At 37.1% G+C, this 27,758-nt stretch overlaps 1 protein-coding gene and 1 non-coding gene across 6 annotated transcripts in view; both read right to left on the bottom strand.

Moving 5' to 3' along the window:
- Positions 1,064–27,758, bottom strand: part of FZD6 (frizzled class receptor 6) — a 34,373-nt gene continuing 7,678 nt past the window's right edge. For 3 of the 5 annotated variants that reach the window (NM_001164615.2, NM_003506.4, NM_001164616.2), the window contains 5 exons: positions 15,144–15,340; positions 8,432–9,449; positions 5,514–5,662; positions 3,865–4,275; positions 1,064–2,589 (listed from right to left, as the gene is read on the bottom strand). In NM_001164615.2, coding sequence (NP_001158087.1) covers positions 2,421–2,589; positions 3,865–4,275; positions 5,514–5,662; positions 8,432–9,449; positions 15,144–15,340 — 1,944 coding nt within the window. In that variant the 3' untranslated portion in view covers positions 1,064–2,420. The remainder of the gene's footprint in view (positions 2,590–3,864; positions 4,276–5,513; positions 5,663–8,431; positions 9,450–15,143; positions 15,341–27,758) is intronic. The other 2 variants (NR_133921.2, NM_001317796.2) reach the window with 2 other exon arrangements.
- On the bottom strand, positions 24,849–24,952 carry SNORD173 (small nucleolar RNA, C/D box 173). The gene has a single exon (NR_145795.1). It is a non-coding gene; the product is annotated as a small nucleolar RNA, C/D box 173 (small nucleolar RNA).

Below are 27,758 nucleotides of genomic sequence, written 5' to 3'. Positions count from 1 at the left end.
TGTCAGGTTTCTCCACTGTAAATGCTACTCTCCCTGTACCACCTGTACTTTGGATTCTTTGGAAGGAAGTCACTATGTGCTGTCCATTCTTATAGGTGTGTAGTATCTTATTGTTTTCCTTGCTTGTACTTTTAAGTTACATGATGTGTATCTAGTAATACATCAGCAGTACCTGGGGATCTTTTTCTCTTGCTTGTGCCAATTCTTGTTCATGTTTTAATGAACAAAAAATGGTCTTTTTTGCATACCTGATTGTTTGATTGTATGATGAGCACTGTGGTACTTTTAGAGTATATAAAATAACATTTTCTTCCTCCAGAGAAGATTTTCATTTACCTGGTGCTTGAGCTACCTTAATCTAATTTCAGGGTTTGAACTTTTTCTATCTACCCAGACAACTTGAAGCAGGGCTGCTTTATGTACAACTCACATGTACTTTTAAGATCCAACCCTCTGAGGTCACAATTCTAAATGTAGGGTGGTTGCAGACCCCTTGTCTTCCAGCCCTTTGAGGCTGTCAATAGCACTGTTCCACTTCTCAGCTGCCCTTTCCAAGTCATCAAGTGCTCCTGGGCAAAACAGCTCCAAATGTTGGGCTTTGTAGTGAGAATTTCTCTCTTCTCCCAGATCTTAACCTGGCAATTCCTCACTATCTTATTAGTTTTTTAATGTTTGGGGTTAATATTATTTTATTTCTTTTTTTCCCCCATCACAGAAATCTGCCTATTGTTTTATTTCATCCACATATTCTAGCCTTCTGTTTTGGGAGGTTTGTCTGTATCACCTAATACACTGTTAGGAGTGAAAACTGGGTCCTGGGTTCCTTTTGCTTCACCCCTCACACTCCAGATCTTTCCCACTGGCTTTAAAAAGTTACAGTTAATATAGCTTTATAATTTACATTTTTGGAAAGAAATAGTGACAAAAAGCAAGAATCTTGACTGCATTCTCCTTCAAGGTTAAAAAGAAGCCTCTGACTTACCAGCCATGGAGTCACTAATCTAAAAAATTATACTACTTCCTTGGCCAGAACTACTATACCTAACCACAGAATACTCCATAATTCTTATACAAAGATAATTTTATTAATGAAAAGATCACACAAAACAAAGTTTTTGTATTCAAAGTTGTCTGTTTAAAATGTGGAAAAGGTAATATTTACAACATTTCCCATACAGTACATAGTTTTTGTGCCTTAACAGAATGCTAAATAGAGAAAAAAACCAAAAGCAAATGCTAAATTGAGAGAAAATCAAAAGCATCAGAAAATCTTGCCCAAAGAATAATACTTAATAGGAAACAAAATTAAGAAAACTCCTTAATATTTTAAAGTATGTTGTATAAAAACGTTGTGTCTTGTTTATTAAAACTACCTTTTTTCCATTTGATTGGCACTAATATCGCTATCACACTTTTTAATGTTCAGCAAAATCCTAGTGAGCTGCCGAAATGAATTCTACAAAATGTCTGAGAAAGGTACTGTATAATACAAAATGTAATATTCTAAATGTTAAAAAACAAAAGTTAAAACAAAAAATATAAGCAACTGTAAGTGGTTATAATACAATCAATGGGTGGTCATGAAACATTAAAAAAGGGAAGTCAATTGCACTTGGCCTAATATACAAAAGACTAACATTTTGTCTACTAACCCTTTAGGACATTTTATTTTAAATATGCAGAAGGATCAGTGAGCAGCATAATACAATCAATAGTGGACACTCTTTGAGTAAGCACCTTATTTCAGTTACATAATTTAGATCTGTGAAATTCCTAAAACGAGACTATAAAAATCACACATTTTAGATGGTAAGGTATCAATAAGTGGGTTTTTAAAGTTAAATTCCTATTATAAGACTTTTTGGTATATCTTTTTTTACAGTATAAAAGAAGACTATTTTACAATTTTCTTAGAAATTCAGTGTAAAAGCTACCAAAGTGCTAAAATATCACAATAGCATGATAAAAATACTTGAATAGGATTTCAAAAAAGTTCAAATACATATAAGCTTATTTTCAAATATGTATAAAAAGATACAAGGATAAGATTTAAATACTTCAGCAAAGAAATATCTTGATTTTATATCAAAAAAGTAAAATAGCATAGTACATCTTAAAATACTCTTACCAAGAGTAGAATCTTCATAAATAGAAAAGGAAGATTCCTCTAACTCTGTCCTCCCACACTATTAAAAAAATATTATTAACCTGCACATTTTCTGTTTTCAGGTATATTGTTGTCATTAACCTTTGTGTGAAATGAGTCATATTATTCTTGAACTCTATTTTTTCCAGTATAACAGTAGGCAATGCAACTTTAAGTGCAAAAGAAGAATGTAACAGTGATTCTTACAAAACAGTGCATAGGTCACTTCCAGTGTAACACAAATTTGCTTCTGAGTAACGAGAGAAAATGTTCTTCAAGTATCTGAATGACAACCACCTCCCTGCTCTTTTCTCACTCCTGAAACCGGGTGAACAAGCAGAGATGTGGAACCTTTGAGGCTGCTTGGTTCTGAAGAACTGGGGACCTGCAAATTGTTGCTCTGTGCCAGGCCAGTGTCAGTAATATCACTCTTTGGACTAATCCTAGATAAAAGAAAAAAAGTTGACACACACACATCCACAAACACAAATATGATGCCATTTTTCATGAGTTTCACCCCTAACCAGTGTCCACCTTTATCAGAGAATAAATAGCTAACAGTCTTCAGGTGTACTTTAACACTTCAAAATACAAATTTTTTTTTTGAGACAGAGTCTCACTCTGTTGCTAGGCTGGAGTGCAATAATAGCGTGATCTCAGCTCACTGCAACCTCCACCTCTTGGGTTCAAGCGATTCTCCTGCCTCAGCCTCCCGAGTAGCTGGGACTACAGGTGGGTGCCACCACACCCGGCTAATTTTTTGTATTTTCAGTAGAGATGGGGTTTCACCATGTTAGCCAGAATGGTCTCGATCTCCTGACCTTGTGATCTGCCCACCTTGGCCTCCCAAAGTGCTGGGATTACAGGCGTGAGCCACCGTGCCTGGCCAAATAATTGTTTAAAATATAATTTTCACTTACTTCAGAAACTTCATCAAGCACTACTTATATATATAGGGCTGAACATGGAATCTTGTGGGGAATAGAATAAGGCAGGATTCCTGTCCTCAGTTTAACAAATGTTTTATTGATTTCCCACCATGGATCAGTACCATGTAAGAAACTGGGAACATAAAGATGAGTAAGACTTTAGCTCTCCCATTGAGAAGGTTACAAATCTACGAGAAGATAAAGCATGTATCTAATTACAATCCAAATATATGAAAGCTGCCATAGGATCACAGAGAAGGTGCATTTAGCCTAGTCTGAGAGGACTAGGTAAGATAACCTTGAGATCTTAATGCAATTAGCTGTCTGCATTCTGGCTTACCTGTGTTTTGGTCACCTATGGCCATTTGAGAAAATTCATTAAAGATAATGTCAATATCTTTTCATGTTCAGAAAATAAAATAATTTTAGATAAAATGACACATTATAATTTTGTATAAGGTGACACTTTTTAGACAGAATTATAATGTAGTATTAATTAAAACTTAGCCTGTATTTTGGGTAAATTGCATTTACTTAAATGTACAAGGAACTCTTAACAATTGCCACAGAAATGAACATTCCTACTTGAACCACCTATATTAAAGCTGTTCTCAAAGCTAAGAATTAAACTACTAAATAGCATATTTATAGGCTGAACCCAAACTTCCTTGGGGTAAGAGTACAGACATAATATATCACAAAATGCTTTCCAAATGTGTTATGCTTTAATAAAAAATGTGTAATGCAGTATTTAAAATAGTGATGATTTTACATAAAATCAAATCTCACCTTCCTTCACTCCGCGCACTTTCAGATACACTGCCTGCCTGGCCCTTCCCGTCGACCTGTTCCCCAGAGAGTCTGGAGATGGATGCTGCTGGCGAGGCAGGTTCACCACAGTCCTGTTCTCTTAACCTGGGGGTGCTAGCTCCGTCCGCTTTCACCTCTCTCATTGATGTTTCTGGTGAGGTTTGGATTTCTGTCAAAGTTTCTTGTCCTAGGTAATCATGGCTAGTAATTGCTACTGCAGAAGTGCCATGATTTGCTGTAGCTCCTGTGCTGGTTCCCATGGATTTGGAAATGACCTTCAGCTTGTGTGAACTTGGTTTATAGTGCTTCTTTTTGTGTTTAACTTTAGAATTGTGCTTTAAGAAAAACTCACATGATTCCTGTAGTACTCTTCGACTTTCACTGATTGGACTATAAGAAAATTGAAGGAGAGGATTTACTCAAATTAGAAGTGTGGCTATAAAGTAGAGGATATAAAGGATATCACATATCTTTTGCCAAAAATCCTTAGTCACTAAAGTTGAAAATTCTATGGTTTATATTATAAAATCTGGGATTATAAATACTAGGACATAAACTGATTTTATAAAATCTTTTGTGTATACACTCTAAGTTGCTTTTGTCAGTATAAATAGTAAACTGGCAAGAAATTAAGGCAAGAATCAAAGGATGAGGGCAAGGAGGCTCAAAACAGCATAAACGTACTATACATAATACTGTATTTGTATAATATATAAATATGTAATATAAAAGTAAACCAGAAGAAAAGGATAGAGAATATAATTAACGGTCTTCATTTAAATATAAGTCTTTTCTTTCTAACGTTAAAAATTAGCAAGTTACACTGAAATTAGTGTGAGTATATAAATATGAGATAGACATATAATAATAGTGCAAAAAAATCCAGTTGAATACGATTCTTCAGACTTCAGAAACTTATTTGTGAAATGGTCTACAGTTCTGAAATGAGTTAAGCAAACCAATGGGGAACAATTTTTAAAAAGCTATAGTACCTTGTATATAGTGTGTGTGCATATATATATATATATATAAAACTAAAATGAATTACTCATAAATATAAATCAATTTTGTTATAGAATATTCCATAAGTTTGAATTTTAACATCTTAAGTAAGACAAATAAGTGAAAGTTTAGGTCATAGCTGTGTGTAATAAGATTTAAAGTTAGTAAATAATGACCATAACACATCACTTATATTTGAATCATACTTTATAGGTTTCTTTATATATACTTAAGTCTTAATCTTTTATCCTTGATAAAAAGGATAAAATTATTTAAAATGCTGTACCCAAAATAATGAATCCAATGACAGCAGTAATAATACTGGATATACTATAAATCATGAAAAGAAAATATGCCTTTCATAAATCATTCATTCATATTTCAAATAGAATAGTATATGTCACAGACATATACTATATGATAAATAGTATATGTCAAAGACTATTGTAACAAATGCAAAAATAAAGCACGTCTCTTTCATAAAAAAAATTTCCAAACTTCAGTTGGCAAATCAAATTGAAATAATAGTTGATATAATGAAACTCTAGTACATTGATTTGAACAGTTCCTTGGTATTTTGATCTATTTATTTAAAAATTGTGTCAGACAATTCAATAGTTTCTTACTCTCTCTTGCGATTTCGTTTAAAAAACCCAGCCCATTCTGTGCATGTCTTTTTGCTTCCAACCCAGAAGACAGCAGAGATGCCAACAATTAATGTCATCAGGTATTTTATCATAAATAAAGCCAATTCTGGTCGAGCTTTTGCTTTTGCCTACAAAAAATAGTGAATAATAATATTTTCAGTGATGCACTTAAAGTGGAAAGAAGTCTATATTGTCAATATAAAACGAACAAAAGTTATAAATCTTCAACTGTTTTACTAAAAAGGTTTGAAATAATATAATGAAGCATGCTCTAAGTGCAACACATTTTTTATCTAAATGCTGAACAAAGAAACTTTATGTACCAAATCTCTAGAAAGGGGAAAATACTGAAATATATTTAAGAATAATCTCCTAAATCTTGGCATGATTTCCTCGCATTTTTTTCTCGATAGATACAGTAGCCTCTTATAATTGCCAGAATATTTGCCTCTAAATATGTACCTATTTTCCCCCACTATAATCTACCACAAAAATACATTTAAACTCATCATAACAAATATTTTACAGCTTTTATACGTTATTAATATTTATATTATAAAAACTTGGTTAAAGTAAATTAAGTATCAGTAAAATGCGAAAATTTCCTAAGAATTGAAATTATACTTTTTATTCAGGCATAAACTTTGAAATTCTAACCTTAAACATTGCACAAGGGTCACGATATTACATACTCTGCATTTCTTGCCTTTTTTACTTACTAATATTTCTTGGAGACCATTCTGTATCAATACAAATAGAGCTCTTTATTTCTTTTATTTTTTATTTTATTTTTATTTTTTGAGATGGAGTCTCACTCTGTCACCCAGGCTGGAGTGCAGTGGCGTGATCTCAGCTCACTACAACCTCCGCCTCCCGCGTTCAAGCAATTCTCCCGCCTCAGCCTCCCAAGTAGCTGGGACTACAAGTGTACGCCACCATGCCTGGCTAATTTTTTTGTATTTTAGTAGAGACAGGGTTTTACCATGTTGCCCAGGCTGGTCTTGAACTCTTGAGCTCAGGCAATCCGCCCTCCTCAGCCTCCCAAAATGCTAGGATTACAGGCGTAAGCCACCGCACCCGGCCAGAGCTCTTTATTCTTTGTAAAGGCTGTTGCATTGTGTGAGTGAACCATAACTTATTCTACTATCCCTGTTAATAGATACTTACTTCCAATCTATTGTCATTTGCAAATAATGTTGTAGTGACTATCTTGGTATTATTTAATTTCTCATATTTGTAAGCAAATCTGTCTATAAATTCCCAGAAGGGCAGTATCAGTGTACACACATTATACATCTGTACATACCGCGAAATTGCTTCAACAGAAGGTTGAACTAACTCTTAATAGCAAAGTCTGAAAATATGTATTTTGCTATTTATTGTTTCACCACACAGTGGTTAGAACACCTTTAAGATGTTTGCCGTATCATACATGGAAATATAATTTAATTTTAATTTTACATTTATTTTACTATAACTTTTTCACATGTTTAAGAATAGTTTTTTCATTTTTATTTCCTGTGAACCTTTTTCCTACTCTTTTCTCATTTTTATATCAGATGGATGGTTTTTTTCTTATTGATCTGTAGCAACTCTTTATAAATTAGAGAAATTAGCCTTTCAGCTATGATGTCATATGCAAATAAACTTTCCCAGTTAGTCTTTTGACATTGATTATGGATTGTTTGTTTGTTTTTTTTTGTCACGCAGAATCTTTAAAAAAATTTTTTTTTACTTAGTCAAATTTAGCAATCTTTTATAATTTCTACAACTACAGGAATATTATATCCTTCTCCACTTGAAGATTATAATTTTCTAATTCTATTATATTTTACAGTTTCTTACATAAAACATAATAACTACAGATCTTAAACTTGAAAACCATAGATCTTAAACTTTTTAATAATATGTAATAGTTTCCTCTCCCCAACCTTGCCAAAAAGACTGAGGAAACTAGGAGTCATTATTAATATAGCAGGATCACTTTAAGACACAGCCTCTTATTAAGTATATAGTAAAAACAAACTATGGATAATAGATTATGGACAACGTATAAGGCAAGTAAAACTAGTATCCCCACATACCAACATAAAAAATAGATTCCACAATGTTATAAAGCAGTAACTTTCTGAAATATAAGCTATTATATGAAATAGTTTGACATTCCCATTGCTTAATTTGATACACTGTGATGGCAGTGCTCATGTTCAATGCAGTTAATACCGCACAGAGTCAGGAATAATGTCTAAAATCTACTAAAACAAAACCAAATTTCTATTTACAAAACTTCAACTAAAATGCTTTAAGAAATTTTATATTTTCAGAAATTTACTTTTATTAATTTTAAAAACACCACCCTTATACTAATCATAAGAATCAGAAATAGATAAAGCATATTTTGTTACAACTGTGTTTTTTTCAATTGAGAAATGACAGATGAGTCAGGCAAAAAGCAAATTCTGTTTTTGTAAGTATATACTATGTAAAAAGCTATAAGATAATATGATCAAATTAAATATATCCAAATAAGATTTTTTACTACTAACTAAAAAATTAAAAATAATTGCCAATGCGACAAAAGTGACTTCTGTTTTTCTCCCAATGTCAAGGTCTGTTCTTCTGACTCTGCTCTTTATTGCTATTAATCTGCCTTTGCAGCTCAATTTAATTTTTCAGAGAATAAAGGAAGTGCTTTACTATACAACTGAAGCTAAAGCTTGAGGAAGGAAGTCATGAAACATTCATCCCAGTTTCAGTTGATGTATAGGAAATCCTTACCTATGGCTCTTGTATTTTCTCACCTGAAATCAACTTTTACATCCATGACAAGTATATTTCCATGAAACATTTTCTACATTAAATGTAAATAGAGACATAATCCAAGTGATAGCTTTTACCTGATAAGGACATGGGATATGGTACTGACGACAATGATCAGAGACCCAAGTTATCTCCCAGGTAATCCTGTTCACTTGCTCATAGACGTAACATCCGAGAAGTGTCACTAATGGCACAAGATACAAGCCGCTGAAGACTCCAATTCGAATCATAAATTTCTTTAGTTTTTCTTGGTTCCGGCCATCATGTTGTATGACTTGTCGAACATGATTTAAGGAAATAATGCCAGCTAAAAGAAGAGAGAGCCCAACAAACACACAAAGGCACAGTGGCAAGAGTACAAAGTAGCGAGAAGCATCCAGGTCATAAAGGCCAACAAAGCAAACTCCACTAATGTTGTCTCCTTCAACTTTGTTCATAGCAAGAAGCATAACAGTCAGGAAACCTGGTGTTCCCCATGCAACAGCATGAAACCACACTGCTTTTTGCTCGATGGCTTCACAACTCCATTTTCTTCCTGCAGCTAAGAACCAAGTAATGGTAAGAATCACCCACCACACAGTGCCAGCCATTGTGAAAAAATACAAAAGCATGAACAAAACGGTGCAAGCCTTATTTTGAGAGCCTAGGACAACAGTGTCACCAAGTTCTAGCTTCTCATCTGCCTTATTGCAGGCTGTGCTATCGCCTAGCAAAAATCCAATGAAGTACATAAGAGATACAATGCTGTAACAGACAGAGTAATATATAATTGGTCTCTCTGGGTATCTGAATCTTCTAACATCAATTAAAAAAGTAAGGAATGTGAACAGAGTTGCACAAAGACAAAATATTGAAACTGTTCCAATAAAACTTTTTGCAAACTCTAGCTCATCACTTTTAAAATACATGTTGGGGCATGGAGGCGCACACTGGTCAATTCCCAGAAACTTATATCCTTGTCCCCCAGAAGTCTTAAGATGCCTTGGACACCAAAATCCAATGTCTCTTTGGACTTGTTCTGTTTTCTTCTGAGGACCAAGAAATTCTGTGTGTGGATCAAAAGTTACAGGAACAGTCTCATCACAGTATTGTAATCTGTAAAGATTATAAAAATTAAATATATGAAATCAACATTTTTATTGATTCAATATATTAAGCAATGCTTTCCAACTATAAAATATTACCTTATGTATTCATGATTGATGGGAAGAGATACAAATCTAAATGGATTACAGATAAGAGTTGAGTAGAAATTTTTGAAGTTGACTAAAAACTTGTGGCTGTTAATGGGGCCTCAACACAATAATTTATATTAAATACAAAGCAGGTGAACATGAAAATGCACTTACTTGGAAAAAATTAGCCAATTCATAATTTTAAAATAATTTCTGTTTTTAAGACTAAATATTTAAAAGAATTTATCTTAATTGGTAGGCTCCAGATAAGTACTGGCTTGTCTCTTTATAGCATATGAAATATGTCTTTATATCATATGAAATATATCTTGTCTATTCACTTTTATTTTCTAATGTCCATAAGAAAAGTAAAGCAACCATATAACTAAAGTGATGATAATTAAAATGAATGAAATGAGATCCTTCCCTGGATTGACAGGATAGAGTTCAAGTTTTTAAAGACAGGCAAGTATACCAGCAAGAGGCAGGCTGAGGACCAGCTTAATGAACATCACCATTTTGTTCAGGTTGGGCTCTTTGCCTCCCTTGTTTATGGACAGTCCTGAGTGATAGATGGAGATATTTCCATCTCTTTATCACTAAGTTGAGTTTGTACATACCAGTATTATTTTGGGGGATCTATAATGGTTTAAAAAGTATTGGAGGTTTTGGCCAGGTACGGTGGCTCATGCCTATAATTCCAGCACTTTGGGAGGCTGAGGCAGGTGGATAACTTGAGGTCAGGTGTTCAAGACCAGACTGGCCAACATGGCGAAACCCCATCTCTACTAAAAATACAAAAATTAGCTGGGCGTGGTGACAGGTGCCTGTAATCCCAGCTACTTGGGAAGCTGAGGCAGGAGAATCACTTGAACCTGGGAGGCGGAGGTTGCAGTGAGACAAGACCGAGCCACTGCACTCCAGCCTGGGAGACAGAGAGACTCTGTCTCAAGGAAAAAAAAAAAAAGTACTGGAGGTTTTAAATGAGAAAGCATTTTAAATATACCTTAGATAAGAACAGACTAAAACATATGCCCATAAAATGAAATACAAAAAAAACTACCAGCTTTATTAAAACATAATATTATGTCAATTTTGCTTTATATCTTTTAAAATAAAGCAATATAACATTATAGATACAGTGGGGACCCTTTCTGGTCTTAGTTCCTTCTCTCTCTCCTCAGAAGTATTCATTACCACAAATTCGGTGTTTACTCTCAAGCATTTTAAAATATTTTTATTACATTATTTACTAACTATAACCTTATAAAGTATTGTTTTTCAGGTTTTGAACTTTATATAAATGACACCATGCTGTATATAGCATGCTATAACTTACATTTTAAAATTTAACACTATATTTTCTAGATTTATCCATGTCGACAGATGTGGGTCAACTACATTCATTTTATCAACTGTATGGTAGTATTCCAGTGTGTAAGTACATCACAATTTACTAATCATTCTTCTATGATGGACTTTTAGATTTTTTCCCATTAAAAGAATTAGGAATAATCTACAATCAATATTCTTGTGCACGACTCTCTGTGTAAGAGTTTCTATGGGAGGGGATTTCCTAGGATGCAGGGTTAAGCATCTGCCATTTTACTATATGTTACTCAATTGTTCTTGAAAATGATTATGTATCTACCAGAAGTGTGTAAGTTCCACATAGGTTCTATAGTTTCTTCAGCCTAAAAATAAAACAAAAAGCTAACCAGTTTCTTTCCCCAATTTATTATATGAGGTCTCACTGTATCAGTAGAATAAATTAGCAGCCTCCACTGTCTAGAGAATAGGAAAAAAAAATTAATCAAGACTAATGTGGAAAAGGTCAGTGAATGGATACATTCATTCATAAGTTAATTGTGCTTAAAATCTTACTTTCTCCACATGAACTCTAATTGCAAATGATCAAGTCAGTCAGTATTCATCAAGTTTATTCACTATCACGGAAAGGTCCAGATAGAATATTTCTTTTAAATATATGCCTGTATATGCCTGAGATTCTTTTTTTTTTTTTTTTTTAATGGAGACTGGGTGTCACTATGTTACCCAGGCTGGTCTTGATTTCCTGGACTCAAGCAATCCTCTTAAATAGCTGAGAATACAGCTGTGTACCACCATGCCTGGCTTATGCTGAGATTTTTATATCCAAAAAAGACCATTCACCTTGCCAAAATATTACATTAACAGTGGTCTGAAGGTATACGGAACAAGTATAGTCAGCATTTTGATCTTAACGCAGTAGAATATTTCATGTTATAAAAACATCTGTTAAGCATGTTTGTAACGTTTTCACTTTGAAATGCACTTATTAATTATAAAATCTGTCATAGCATAGTGGCTGAGATATGGAAAGGCCTCTGATAAATCACAATAGGAAAGTGTGTTTTCATGAAAGCAAGGCAGCTATACCTTTGAGGAGAAAAAGTTAGACTATCATAATAAAGACAGGAAAATGAGTGTAAGGAAAGAAGTATAACAGAAAATTAGATTCCACAGACTCTCAGGTGGTATGGTGGACATGCACTGCTGTGGGGAAAGAGGGAGAAATGAAAAGAAGGAGCGTCATGGGTCAAACGAGTGGGATTCATCTATTGGCAAGCTACCCGAGGATGGCTGGAGCCGGAACTGAAAACAAAGTTCAGTTTACAAAACTCTTCACGTAGAAAAGAATGTGCCTGTGCTCTGATGAGCTGAGGAAACTACAGACCTCAAAGAATGAATGCACCTTTTTCTTCCAAGGCAAAGGCATTCTCCTGGGGAACCAAGAGCCTAATGCATGCCATAACCACACAGTTCTGCCGTTTCTCAAATAATAGATGCAGCCTTCATGTTTTTACCACAGTTATGTTAAATCTTTCATTATGCTAGAAATCTTTCAATGAGCTAGATTTTGTGTTTTAATCAGAGGTTCCCCTCTTTCTTTGTGTGTGTTTTCAAAGTAAATAAGATGCCACAAAAGCCTGAAGGTCTTATTTATAGAAATGAAAAAATATTCTCCAGTATAGGCCATACTAGAATTATTTTTATGTGCAGCTGACCCAACTAACATTGTATAAAAGGATGTTAATGGGTTTGCTTTATATTAATGGGACATGGTTTAATATAGGGCTTAAATAATTTTAAAAAATGAATTCTACTTCCCAATTCAATGTATCAAGCATTCTCAAACACGAATAAATTTGATTTAGATTAATTCCGTTTCTCCAAAAATCAAGTTACGAAGACCAAAACTCCAACAGAGTTAGAAATTAAGCATAGGTGCCAGTGTAAATTTTTTTAAGTTATAACCTCCCCTGCTTTGAAACTGAGTAGGCAATCTCATAATGAAAGAGCAAGTATTTTCTCCACAGGCCTCACCGTCTTCTCATATAAATATAACTTATTTACTGAATCTTCTCCTTCCCTCCACTAAAATGTAAGGTCCATGATGGCAGGAATTTTTGCCTGTTGTAACTCTAGTGCCTAGAACAGTCCTGGCACACAGTAAGAGTACAAGAAATATGAGTTGAATGAATCATCAGTTTTGTCTCCTTTCCTTTTGCTGTCATCATCCTTGGTGACTTGACCAAGAATAAGCTATCCACACTCTGGCTTCTCGGCTCTTTAGCCTCCTCATCTCCAATGACTATCCCTAACCCGCAGTGGCCACCTGTAATCAAAGTCACACAAGGAACCCTGCCACAACCTGCAAGTACACACTATCTCCAAAAATCAACTCAAGCATCCTGCCCTTCGTCTGCAAGCTCCTATCCTTGCAATTCATTTTTTAAAAAATCCTCATTATGCCTTTAAAAAAAAAACCTCATTGGGATAGATCTCCTCCAGCTTGTCTCCATACATTAGTTCATTTCTCTCTTCATTTCGCTCCCCATCTATTTAGACTTTCATAGGCTATTGTTTCAGTAACACCCTTCTCATTATCCTTCATTTTTTAGTGCACCTTTATCTTTGCACTGAATCCATCTGACAAAACCCCAACCACAGATGAGCACAACTATCTGCCTTCTCTGTGCTTAGCCCCAAGCATCCCACCACAGCTGGAGAAGTTCTCAACAGGCCAGATGAGATCCACACATTCAGGATCGCCTGATTTACCTAAAATGTTACGAAGCCTCTCTAATTGACTCATTCTCCCATGCTCCATGATGACCACTTCTCTCGAACACATATCCTTCTTTCCCAGACTCACAACAGAGGACCTCCTTGACTCTTACTATGTCACAATGGAAATAGAAACCATCAGAAAGAAATTATTGCAACAACTCTTACCAAACACACAAACCTACTATATCCACAGCCATCCTATCCTTTCCTACTGTTACAACAGATGTTCCTCCCATCCATGGCCAAAATGTCATCTATGCTTGGGATCCTATCTCCTTCTTAGAAAACTACTATTGATGACCTCTTCTACCCCATATATGCTTGCCTCTTCCTTTTTCCTAGTAGTTCTTAAAATAGTTCTTTCCCATTAAACTCATAAACTTTCCTCTTTTATAGCCAGCTTCCCTAAGAACTCTGTTTCTGGCTTTACTTCCTCTTCACTCCTTCACCTACTGTGATCTGTCCTTTGCCCCAGTCACTCTAGTGAAATAGCATAAGGTAATGTTCTTTTTGACTGGCAGCACCTGACATGTCCTCTGCCTTGAATGCTTTTTTCCTTCAGGACACACATTTACTATTTTCCCTATTTGTTTCAGTTATAACCACATGACTGACATCTTGCCAACAGGAATGCATGTGGAAAAGGTATAACACTTCCCATCTGAGGCACTCAAGAAAAGGCGTGAGTTCTCTACCTTCTCTCTCCCATCCACCTGGCTGACAGAGTTGGAGGATGGAAGTGTCCTGGATTCCTAACAGAAACTGCCAGAGTGCTGCCCAACCCTCAGGAGACTGACACAGGTGCCATGCTCTACACAGAAGCTCACAGGATTGTGCTACCCATTCCTGTCTTAAAATATTAAAGACCTCACTGCTTTCAGCATAAAAATATGAAAGATGGGCCCTGGGTGGTCTGACTGCTGCTTCTCTCTCTTTCCTTATCTTGCACCATATTCTTTCTCACTCTCATCACTCCAGCTATACTAGCTTTTGAATTCCCTGTATATGCCATGCTCCCTCACTCCCTGTTCAGGGGCCCTGCAGGGTCTCTAAATAAGCTATTCCCACTGCCCGAAATGCTCTTCCCTCCTCTCATTGCCTAGTTACCTCTGTCTTACCCTTACCCTTCGTACTTTAGCTCAACAGTCATTTCCTTCCCCTTTCCCCAGTTTAGGTCAAAGGTATCATTATATATTCTCATAGAATTATCTACCTTTCCTTTGTTGTATCTATCACAGTCATAATTTTGCACTTATTTGCATAATTATTTGATTACTGTCTGTCCCTCTCACCTCACTGTAAGTTCCCTGAGAGCAAGAACCAAGTCTGTTTTTTGCCCACCTTTGTGTCCACAGCACTTAGCACCATAGTGCCTGACATATATTAAGTGTGTAATAAACATTTATGGAATTAAATAATGAAAGCTTCTCACTAACATCCCAGAGAGCTAGTACCAGTAGTAAAATACCATTAGTAGCTTTCCATGAAAAACATTGTTTACCTGTCACATTCAAGCTCCTCAGGCCATCGGATCCCAAAAGTGTCAATTAATTTTTTGCAATCAGAATATACTTTCTCACAAAGTTTACGACAAGGTGGAACCACATGAATTTGTTCTATGCAGGTTGGTACAAATGCTTTGCAGAGGAAAGTTTCAATGTTTGGTGAACATTCCAGATTTGCGAGAGGAAGAAAATGCTATTAAAGACATCAAGATACAGTTAGAAAACATTTTAATAACAAATGAATAAAATTAATATATTTACTGTTTAAAGTATATGCTTTTTCACTTATACTGCAAAAGAATCTTTAAATCTCCCTCTATCAGACTTATGAACTCTTCATACACAATGGGATACTACTATTTTATTCAATCATATATTTTTCAAGAAGACATGGATTATTCCAGTGAAATCACTTGCCAGAGTCACCAACAAACTCCACATTGTCAAATCTGATGGTAAATTCTGAACATCCCTTCTACTCAGCTCTTAACAGCAATCGACACAGTGACTCCTAGCTTCCTCTTGAGGCCCCTTTTGCACTTGTCTTCTAGGACACGAATTCTCTTGGATTTCTGGCTGTCTCACTGGCTGTTCCTTTTCTAGTCCTCTTCCATTTCCCAATTATGATCATTGAAATGCTCCAGAGCTCAGTCCCCAAGACCTCTTCTCTATCTCTACTGACTCTCAAGGGAAACTCATCCAGTCCCCATGTCTACTGTGAACCACAGACTTGAATGAGCATCTGCTCCGGGACAACTCCATTTGGCTGTTAATGGGCATCTTGAACCCAAAGTATGCAAAATACAACTCAATCCCACCGTATCTCTGCCTCCCAAACACTCCCTTAGTACTCTCCATCTCAGTAAATAATGCCACCATTTACCAAGTTGCTCAGGCCAAGAATCTTACAACTCATTCTTTTTTCTTTCTTTCTTTCTTTCTTTTTTTTTTTTTTTTGAGACAGAGTCTTGCTCTGTTGCCCAGGCTGGAGTGCAGTGGCATAATCTCAGCTCACCACAACCTCTGCCTCCCAGGTTCAAGCAATTCTCCTGCCTCAGCCTCCCAAGCAGCTAGGACTATAGGCGCATGCCACTACGCCCGGCTAATTTTTGTATTTTTAGTAGAGACGAAGTTTCACCATGTTGGCCAGGCTGGTCTTACAACTTATTCTTTACTCCTCTCTTCTTTCACTCCATCTCCAACCCATCAGCAAATCCTGTTGGCTCTCCCTTTAAAGTATATTCCAAATCTGACCATTTCTCACTATTACCACCCAGTCTAAGCCACTATTATCTTTCACCTCAACTACTAAAATGGCCTCCTAACAGGTCTCACTACTTCCCACACTTGCTAATCTTACAGTCAATTTTCCAACCAATGCGATTCTTTAAAACGTAAGTTTATCCTTGTTCAAAGACTCCAGTAAAATAAATTCCAAAGTCTTTTCCAATTCCCATGAGCCTTTAAATTTCCGTGTTCCCCGCTATGTCTCCAGTTTCATTTCTGACCACTTTGTCTCTTATTTACTCCATTGCCACTAAACTGGACTTCTACTTCTTATAGTTCCATGTGTATTTCTGTCTCAGAGTCTTTGCACTTGCTGTTCCCCTCACCTCTTCACCCAGATAGTGAGTCTTGTGCCCTCATTTGAGTCTCCACTCAATTCACCTCAAAGAGGCATTCCTGCCCATCCTATCTAAAATTATCCTGCTCTTATCTTTCCCATTACCATGGTTTGCATTTCTCTTAAATCCTTATTACTATCTGGCATTTCATTATGTACTAGTTTATTTAATTTTTGCCTTTACCACTAGAGTGTAAATTCAAAGAGGGAAAGGATTTTGTCTATTCTGTTCACTGCTCTATCTCCAGTGCCTAAAGCAGTGTCTGCTACATGGCCATTTCTCTATATTTACAGAATAAATGCATGATTCTCCAAAACAATAAATGAACACTGACAAAGCATATCAATAAAACATTTCAGAGCATCAAGACAAAGAGAAGGTCATAAATGTTTCCAGAGGGGGGAAAAAAACAGAATACATGTAACTAAATTAAACTGTGAATATTTGACAATATCAGAAGCTAGAAGAAAATGAAAAAATGACTATAAAATTCTAAAGAAAAATGCATTTCAACCTAGAATTCTAGATCCACCCAAACATTTAGAGAGTAGACTACTGACATTTTTGGCACTGTAAGGAATACAAAATTTAAACTTTCAAGTATCCCTGTTTAGGAAGCAACTAGAAGATGTAATATTCCTGAAACAAATTGAAGGAATATATGAATAAACAAGGAAGGAAAATAATATGGGACCCAGGAATTAGCTGATTCAACACTGAAGAATGACAAGAGAAATTCTCCATGTGACAACTACAAATCTAGTCCAGAAGTAATCAGAACACATTTGACAGAAGGGCAGATGGCTGAAGAAGAAAGGTCTCCAAGGGAAAGGAGCGGGGATTGAGATTGACAGAGTATATGTTATTTTGAGCACTAGGAAAATTGCTGCTAGGTGTATGACAAGTCTGTTAGGATATCTAAAAATAGTCAGACATTGTTACATAAAAAACAAATGAAAATACAACTACTGTGTTAATTGTTGGGAGGGTATTAAAAAAATAAATGTAATCAAAGTATACTACCTGACTCAGCAGTGTACAATATTTAATATTTCTAGTAATATTATCACTGACTATTCATTTAATCAAAAACTGTATCAGGAGGAGAAGTAAAAGTGGCAGGGTAAGAGAAATGAATTATCAATTACCCTAATAGGAAAGAATAAACAGAAACGGCCTAAAGTGCTAAACTGATTAATCTATAACCAACAGAGTAAACCTGTTAGTTAGAATGTGGCCTGCATACCAGAGGAACACCTAAAACAGTTCAAAGAGGCTGCCTCTCAAGGGCAGGACTGGGATATGGGTGGAAAAGGGTGGGCAAGGACTGTTATTTTTCTGTTCAAAGCCTTTTAGTATTGAGGGTTTTCTTTTCCAGCTTTATTCAGGTATAGCTGATGTATGATAAACTGAACATGTATAAAGTGTACAATTTGATAAGTTTTGAAATGATTATCACAATCAAGGTAATAAATGTATCCCTCACCACCAGAAGTTTCCTCTGGCTCCCTTGTCATCCCTCCTGCTCTTCCATCCTCCTCACCCCCTCAGTAACTCTCACGCCTGACAACAACTGATCTGCCTTCTGTCACTGCGGAGTGGTATTTTCTATAATTTTACGTAAGTGGAATCATATAGTGTGTTTTCTTTTTTGTCTGGCTTCTTTCACTTAGCATCATTGTTTTGTGATTCAGTCATGTTGTCTGATGCATCAGTAGTTCATTCCTTTTAATTGCTGAGTAATATTCCACTGTATGGCTGTACCATAATTTTCTTAACCATTTACCAGTTGATGGACAGTCTGAAGTGCACATTTGAGTGTGAAATATCTACTAGCAGGCAGTTAAATAAAGCTACGTAGAAGTGAGACTTTAAATTAAGGATATGGATTTACAAGTCATCAGTATAAAAGTGGTAATTGAAATAACTGGCTGAAATTACCTAAGGAGAATAAGTAGAGTGAGAGAAGATGAAAATTCTGATTCAAGGGAAATACACTGACTCTATATATTAGCATCTCCTTCCACTCGAAATGCCATTGAAATGAAAGAAAAGGTTTAAAGGTAAAAAACAAATCCATAACTGCATTAAAAAAATAAAGAAAGGGCTCCCTATAAGCTTTGGGAAATTTTTGAAAGATAAAAAGAAGGAATGACAACTTCTTTCATCAGTATGGCCAACTAAATATCTCCTGCCACAAAACATTCAGGTTCTGGATAAAGTGCAACACATATACTTTGAAATGCATTGCTGAGCACTGTATACACCTTAAAAATAGCCTTAAAACATATAAACAAAAAGCAATAAAACTATAAGGAGAAATGGACACTTCCATGGTCATGAGAAATTTCAATATATCTGCTTTAGTAAATGAACGGTCAAGCAGACAAAAATTAATAGGTAAATATAAGCCTTGATTACAGACTACAATTAACAAGTCTGACTTAAAGGGCATATACAGAACCCACACCCAACAATTAGAGGACAATAGCTATGAAGGATGTTGGACCAGTGGGAAGTTCCCCTGTCCTGATGGGGCAAGTGACTGAGCAGAGACAGGGTTGCCATGGTTGACATATATTATTGCTTTTATTTGAATGATGCTCTGAGATTGGATCCTTTGTCACCTCACAGGAACTTGGAGTGCAAACAGCACAGTACTTTTCTCAGTTTCCTCCATCGTGAAGGGGAGAGAGTGCCCAGACAGTGTGCAAATCCTCCTCTGAGCCTGAGGTAGGAGAAGGGGAGCTGCGGGCAACTAGTAAACTGTGGTAAACTCTTTGTTTACTGTCCCAAAAAAGCCTAGTTCCTAAATTTTTTGACTATGTGGTAATCAGATCCTTTGGTGGAAAGAATTAAAACACACTATGTTTATTTAATTCTTCTAACTCAGAAGCCATGATTAACTGGTGGTCAGCACTTAAGAAGTAATTATATAGTTCAAGGGCAGGCAAAATGAATGCAATACATGTACTTTTGCTATACAAAAACAATTTTCTTACATGGAAAACACAAGTCACTTCCCTAATTTAATTCTTTTACAGTGCCAAAGTTGGCTAATCCAATAATGTTGATGTTCCTGCACTGTGTAGAGGATAAACTGAATGCTGAAAACTCAGATACCTTCAGAGGCCAGGCAGGTAAATGAAAATGCCTGTAAGATGATAGGGAGTATTTGGGAAGCTGCTGCTACTCAACTCCAGCAGACTATTATTTGGAAATGGGGGCATAGAATTGTCAGGTATATCCATTTTTCCTAAGAAAACAGAACCTAGATTGTTATGTGTAATTTCCCAAATTTTAGATTTTGGCACTTTAATCTATACATTTGAAACAGGGCCCCCCCCTTCCCTGACACACACACACACACACACACACACACACACACACACACACAGAAAAATCAAGTCTCAGGTCAGATCCAGTGTGGGCTACCAACTTCCAAGTTCAGTTGCAGATGAATAGACTTAAAGAATTTTAGACTTGGAAGGGACTTGAGAGAAAACCTTTAAGTTAATTATTTTCGAAGTGTATGTGTGTCTGTGTGTGCACACATGCACACTTTGCCAAGAAACATTTTCTTTAAATAAGAAGTTAAAAGGAGGCCGATATACTAAATAAATAAAGGCATAGTTTCTTGGGCTGAAAAGGAAGCTCTCCCTGCTGAGATACTTCTCACCATTCCCCTTTGCTACCAGTGACCTCAGAGCACCTCCAGAGATCACAATTGGAAAACCACTGACCTAATCTAAGCCCTTGGATCAAGTGAGAAAACTGAAGCCAATTTCTTATTAAAATTGTTACTCACATTCCAAAATGTACTCTGAATTAGAAGTTAGGTATCTTTATTCCTGATCGAATGCTACTTTTACCAATTCTATGGCTACTGATAATAAATCAGAGCTTTGGCTTATTTGGTACTTACCATAAACCAGGCACTGTGCTTTTTCATATACCATTTTCCTTTATCACAACCTGTTCTTCTCTCCACCTTGCAGCTGAGGCAACTGAGGCTCTGAGAGGTTAAGTAACTTGTATAGTCACAATAGTAGTAAGAAGCAGAACTAGGATATGAACCTATGTTCCTAGGACTCCAGAGTATGTCCTCTTTAACCTTCACTCTGTGCTGCTACCCATTTCTCCCTGAAAATTACCCTTTCCCAAAGCACAGCGACAGGCAAAAATGCCAATGAGGATGAAGGGAAGAAAATATATCAAGAGGATTGGGACTCTTCCACATGAAAGAAACTCTTCAGTTAAAAAAAATAAATGTTCACAGGATACATATCAAAGACTATAAAACCTCAAGCTATGTTGATCACATTCCAGATGATGCGTTATCTCCTGAAGCAAGAGCAAGTATTCCATCATATGGAGTACTTTCAGAACAAATCACAGCACTTTAAATAATGGGTAGTCAGCCTAGTATTGAACTCATTATACCAATCAGTTGAAACATAACTGGGATGAACATATTTTCACAGTCTTTTGAAGTAAAAATTGTGATTGAAATGTTTTATGTTCTTCCTCAAAATGTCCTGGGTACCATTCTCAGAAACCAAATCTAACATGACTCATTGAGATATTTCTTATGTCCTTAATTTTATGCTATGAATTTCATCACATCATTAAACTAGGATTTAGCACGTTAAGTGCCAAACCTGTGAATTAAACTCATGAATTAAAGTGCAAATCTATGAATTGAGCAAATATCAAACCTGGTCGCATCAGTCTGTTCCTTTTACTCACCTTTAGTGACACCACCTTCTTCAACTCTCTTAGTAACCCAGTGCTTTCATGATCTCACTTATAAACTCCTCCTTTCAAATTTCATTCTCAAAAAACTCATCTAATAACTATTAATATTGGTTCTGAGATTCTACCATTCAATAACTAAAACAGCGTTATTAATTACAGTTTCAAAAATCAAGAAATAAAAGGTAGGCTCCTTTAAGGAAATGGTCAGTCCCTGGCAGAAATCCCTGGAAATAGCAGTTACTATTAGTACTGGCAGAGATGAGAAAGAAGAGGGCAAGTGAGAAGGCAATTCACATCTCTATCGTGAAAAACAGCCTGAGCCAACAGTAAGATAAATGAAAAATGAGAATCAAAATACATAGAGTATTTTCTATAATCCTTCACTGGAAATAATGCTAGCATTTTATTTCTAACTAAGTTCTAATTCTTATTTAATTCTAATACTTTAATTCTAACTATTTAGTTTAACTACCTGTGCTACCTTTGGCAGGTAGTTTTCTGTTTCTGAGTCTCAGAGTATCCATCAGTAAAGTGACAGTGATGAACTCGATGATCACTAAGGAGATTTATGATACCTAACTTCTATGGCTCAAAAGTTTATGAAGAGGGTAACAAAGAATTGAGTAGAAGAACTGGAGATCAATTTCAAAACAACTGTAGGTGCTATGGTGAAATTTTCTCCTTGGTAAGTTAACACTTTTTTTTTTTTTTTTTTTTTAAGAGACAGGTTCTCACTCTGTGGCCCAGGCTGGAGTGCAGTGGCACAATCATAGTTCACTGCAGCCTCCAATTCCTGGGCTCAAGTGAGCCTCAGGCCTCAGCCTCCCAAGTAGAGATAGAGTCTGTGTTGCCCAGACGGATCTTGAACTCCTGAGCTCAAGTGATTCTCCTGCCTCAGCCTCCCAAAATGCTGGGATTACAGGTATGAACCACTGTTCCCAGAGAGTAACACTGTTTTACACTGTGCTCTAGAGTGAATATTTACTATTTGGGGGAATCCAAAAGTAGGTAAGACACTATGGAAGCTAAGAGGGATGCAGGGATACAGCCTGGCAATGAAAACATAGGCACCTAATCTAAGCTTGGCCATCTGTATACTCTGGGTATTGTGATTCCTGGGGAGAGGGTTATGCAAAAGAACAGATATAGTCAGATTATTTGAGGAAGCTGCAATGCGATCAGTAATCCTTGCAGTGGCCAAATAAGCATCCAGTGACAATGGCTCAGGAAGTATCCAATGGTATTGGCACTGGTGACAAACTAATCCTATGGTATGACCTTAGCTATGCCCCAGTTCCCTTTGCTCCTCCTTACATTTTGAACCCGGTTCTCCTGCCTTCCCATTGATCTTACAAGCTGTCCAAAATCCATCAATTTTCTGCTTAGTCAGAATTGGTTTCTGTTGTTTGTAATCAAGAAGACCAACTAGTACAGAAAAAAAACATAAAGAATGGTTTGCAAGTGATCTCAGCAAAACAGGAGGAACTCTAGAACTGGGTTTCTGGTCTAAGGCCAAAGGCAGTGAGCATCCTGTTAGTATTTAAAGATGGAAATCTGGCAACCCATGGCAAAGTGAATTAAATTATCCTTGTAACCACTTAGCTTGGTTTTAGCTTAGCTTCTCTGTACATAATAGAATGATATGCCCCATGAACACGAGGCTGTGGGAGATCAAATGAGTGCCTGCTGCCAGAGAACCAGAAAATAATATAACGAGCATGAGTTATCAGATTGTAGGGTAGGGTGAGGACTTCTAATGGTACTGCTTGGTTTAGGAAGAGAATAACAAACTGGCATCTCTGAATTTTTGACTCAAGGTGGGAAGTAAAACACTAGGCTGGGCATGGTGGCTCACACCTGTAATCTCAGCACTTTGGGAGGCCAAGGTGGAAGGACTGGTTTATGCCAGGAGGTCGAGACCAGCCGGGGCAACATAGCAAGACCCTGTCTCTTAAAAAAAAATAGCAGGTTGTCAATGCACACAGCCCTACAGTCCCAGCTGCTTCCGGGGCTGAGGCCTGAGGTTCACTTGAGCCCAGGAGTTCCAGGTTGCAGTGAGCTATGATTGTGCCACTGCACTCCAGCCCAGGCAACAGAGTGAGACCCTGTCTTTAAAAAAAATGAAACACACACACAAAAGGACAAAAAGGACTTAAGGCTCAAGGAGTTGAAAACCAAGCACAGTTTGATCTGCAGGTGGCTAAATTATATCAGTTTAATGTGCTTCCCATTCACATAAGAGACCTGGTGATATTGTAACTAGGAAACTGAGACCCAGAGTTCTGTAGTGGGGACACATGACAAGGCTCAGGATATCGCAGAGTGCTCTGAACCTGCAGCTCTCAAGGTAGACCCTTTCTGTAAGAAGAAAATAAATAGCCCCCTGCCCCATCCCACCAGTCTTCAATGTCTCAACCTGTAACTAGAGTTTCACCCCAGCACGCCTTGGGAGCATCAAGTCAAAATCAAATCTGAAAAAAAGACCTACAAACTAGTTGTAAGACTGTTAATTTATATTGGTTTCTGAGGGTTACGAATTGAAGAGGAAAGAATACAATTTTAGATGGGGCTAAGACATACTGACATGGGGTTATTTCTCAGAGATTCTAGATTCAGTGTGCTAGCTTCAGAGAGACTGGGCTTTTGGAGGTAAGATGATAAATGGGCTTCTGACAGGGGTTCAGTGAGACCTAAATCCAACCCACTGCAATTTTCCAAGTCCATGTATGTACACCTAAAATAGCTGTATTTAGCAAAAACACAATAGGCATATTTGTTTCCTGGATAAATGTTATTATGGTAGGGGCCAAACAAAAACCATTAGAGGTCTCCCTCCCTACCATGAAAGAAAATCAAAAACAATACTGCAGATCAAGGGGATTTTCAGAGATTGGCAACACCACTAGAAACATATTCAGGGGTAACAGTTCCTACCACCTGCTCATTTCAACTTTCCAGTGGATTGTCTTAAGCAACCTCAACTCAATTGGCTAAGGTGATTCTCCAGATGTGGTCTCTTTCCTGTAGCAAATAGTAAAGCTCAGGCACTTTGTATGCCTCTCTAAGCTAGCCAGTTCTTTCTTCTACAAAAGCAATTTGTTCTCACCCAGTAGGGACAGCAGCATATCTTTGCCAACTTGCCTTAGAGCAGTGGTTCCCAACAAGTGGCCCCTGAGTGAGCAGCATCAGCATCCCCTAGGAACTTGTTAGATGTGGAATTTTTCCATCCCATCCCAGACCTATTGATTCAGGAACTCAGGGATGGAGCCAGTGATCTGTGTTTTAACAAGTCCTTCAGATGATTCTGATGCACATCAAAGCTTAAGAGCTTCAGCTTTAGGGGAACATCATCAGCTCTTCAGCTCTGTGCCTCAATTTCAGTCAGTGAAACATATCACCGACTTCACAGGACATCACACTAATCTAACTTATCAAAGACATAAAGCTGATGAGGCCATAGACATGTACCCTAGATGCCATAGTAAGATACAAGTGCAGATGAGGAGATTAACCCTACATAATTAAAAGGGACCTTGGCTTTTGCTACTAGTTCCTCATAGAAACTAAACAGGAGAGAACATCTAGAGATCATCAGGTCAAGTTACCTCTCATGAATTGAGTGTTACTGAACTCACCTACTCATGATGTCAGGGACCAACTGCATTCCATCTTCAAGTGGCTGGATAGATCTCAAAGATACGGGAAAGTAGCATATTGCTTGCATTCTCAGAATGCCTGCTTCTGCCATATTATAATTCTTTCCTTAAAACACACCTACGTCTTCAAGCAGAGTTCCCTCTCACCAAATGACTCATGAAGAAACAATTACAGCCTGGCTTACAATAGCTGGCCCCAGCTATTGTAAGTGAGCTACTATAGGATTATAACTCCATTCAGAGGTGGCCCTAGCAGGCAGAACTTCAATCACTGTCTATGTTATCAGTAGAAAGATGGTCTCAGGTAAGAAGTTATATTGATTCATGGGCTATAGCTAATGGTACAACAAGATAGGGACTTGCAAGCAACAAGAGCTTGGAAGAGTTCTACAGAACTGGTATTAGGAGTCCGGAAAAGCAGTGTGTGACTGGACTTCTCCAAAATGGGCCTATAATCTCAAAAAAAATTTTTTTTGCATGTGAATGCAAACCCAAAGGCCCCAAGACAGAGGAGGCTCTTAAATGTGTAGACTAAATAATCTACTCTGTGGATGTCAATCAGCCTTTTCTCTAGTTGCACCAGTATAGGCTTAACAGGCTCAGGAACAAAACGGCCATGGTGGCAGAAGAGTGCCCAGATCCAATAGCATAGACTTTTCCTTCTTGGGGTGATCTGGCTACTGCTGAGTAGTTCATTTGCCAGAAGCAGAGCAGTAACCAACCTTAAGCCCTCAATATGGTATCATGTTCCAGCAGGATCAACCAACTATCTAGTGTCAGGTTAAGAAGTATCCTGGATAATTTCCATCCAAGAGTTGTCCTCACTGAAATCCCTTGCTTATAAGTTCCCAAGTAGACCATACCTGTGCCAGCATCTTAGCTGTAGCATGTTTCCTTACAGCCTGAGCTTGAATTCTAGCCCACCTGGCGATTCTATGAGCTACCTGCTACTCTTATAATCAATTCCTTTTCTGCTTAACCAGTCTGGGTACCCTAAGATGGAAAGGACATGAAAAAAAAAAAACACACCTTAGAACACAAGGAAAGGAGGCTCCTTCTTCAGAGTTAAAAGAATTAAGAGCTATATAAAATCAATGAAAGAATGACCAGGGCAAAATAATATTAAAATAAGTCTAAAAGTATTTTTTGGAAATGAGTAAACAAGGGCAAAAAAGTAATCTAAGAAAATAAGCCTTTGTCAAAAAGTAGAACTGAAAGTACAATGACAAAAACAGATAGGTTGTTTTACATTCCCTCCACTAGAATATAAATTCTGTGAGGGCATATAGGTCTGTTTGTGCATTACTGTATGTCAAGTATCTGAACAGTGCTTCAAATATTTATTTATTTAGGCATTCAAATATTTGTTGAATGAATAAACACCAGCTAGTCTCAGTGAAATATACAGGGAAAGGACCAGCTAGCTCCTGATGCTATAATAATATGATAATGAAAGGAACCATAATATGGGCCTGGGGTTGGTGGCACTGTAAGATCCTGAAGGGAAAGTCTGGGCTAGAATTTTAATTGAGAGGGGTCAAAAGAAGGAACTATTTGGTTTCTTAAAAATATATAAAGCATAACCTAAGCAGAGTGGTCCTGTGGCAGTATCTTGGCAGTGCCTTGCTTCCCTGAGTACTGAAAATATGGGATACATAAACGTTTGTCACTTTTCTGAAGCATGAATCAGAATCCCACTGGTACATGGAAGCAAGCCACATCACCAGTGAACAAGACCAAGTGACTCCAAAGCCTCTGATCCTAAGCTCAGGATTTGTGCTTTCTACTCATGGTGACATACACAGTAACTCCCATGCAGTGAGAAAAGCTATATTTCTTGCTCTAAATTGGCACCAAAAACAAAGTCGATTTACAGTGATGGTGATTAAAACTGAGTGAAGGAAATTTAAAATGTCATTAAAAAAAGTGATGAACCTGGGGCCAGGCGCGGTGGCTCACGCCTGTAATCCCAGCACTTTGGGAGGCCGAGGTGGGTGGATCTTGAGGTCAGGAGATTGAGACCATCCTGGCTAACATGGTTAAACCCCGTCTCTACTAAAAAAATACAAAAAAATTAGCCGGGCTTGGTGACGGGCGCCTGTAGTCCCAGCTACTCGGGAGGCTGAGGCAGGAGAATGGCGTGAACCCAGGAGAGGGAGCTTGCAGTGAGCGAGATGGCGCCACTGCACTCCAGCCTGGGTGACAGAACGAGACTCTGTCTCAAAAAAAAAAAAAAAAAAAAAAAAAAAGTGATGAACCTTAGCAAAACAACAGGCTCACTAAAGTCTAAAGGGGCCCTTAAATGTTTTCAGTTAGACTTCACTGGGCAAATACTGTTTAAGTGGTTACAAAAGTCTTGAGTAAATTCTTTGAGAATGTCAATGGACTACTGTATAGGAAAGTGGTGCAAATTTTGCTACCTATTTTCACGAATGTGATCAATCTCAGGCAAGTCAGCTTCTTTAAAAAATGTAAAGTGGAGCCTGGAATACAAGAGAACAAAAAGCAGGAATTTACATTATTTCCATAATGGAAAACTTGTTATTTTTAAACTATTTCTTGTGAGGGACCA

This window comes from Homo sapiens, chromosome 8 (assembly GCF_000001405.40).
Source record: "Homo sapiens chromosome 8, GRCh38.p14 Primary Assembly".
Lineage (NCBI taxonomy): Eukaryota > Metazoa > Chordata > Mammalia > Primates > Hominidae > Homo > Homo sapiens.
Note: the sequence above shows the minus strand (reverse complement) of the source record. Positions and strands in the feature narration are given on the sequence as shown.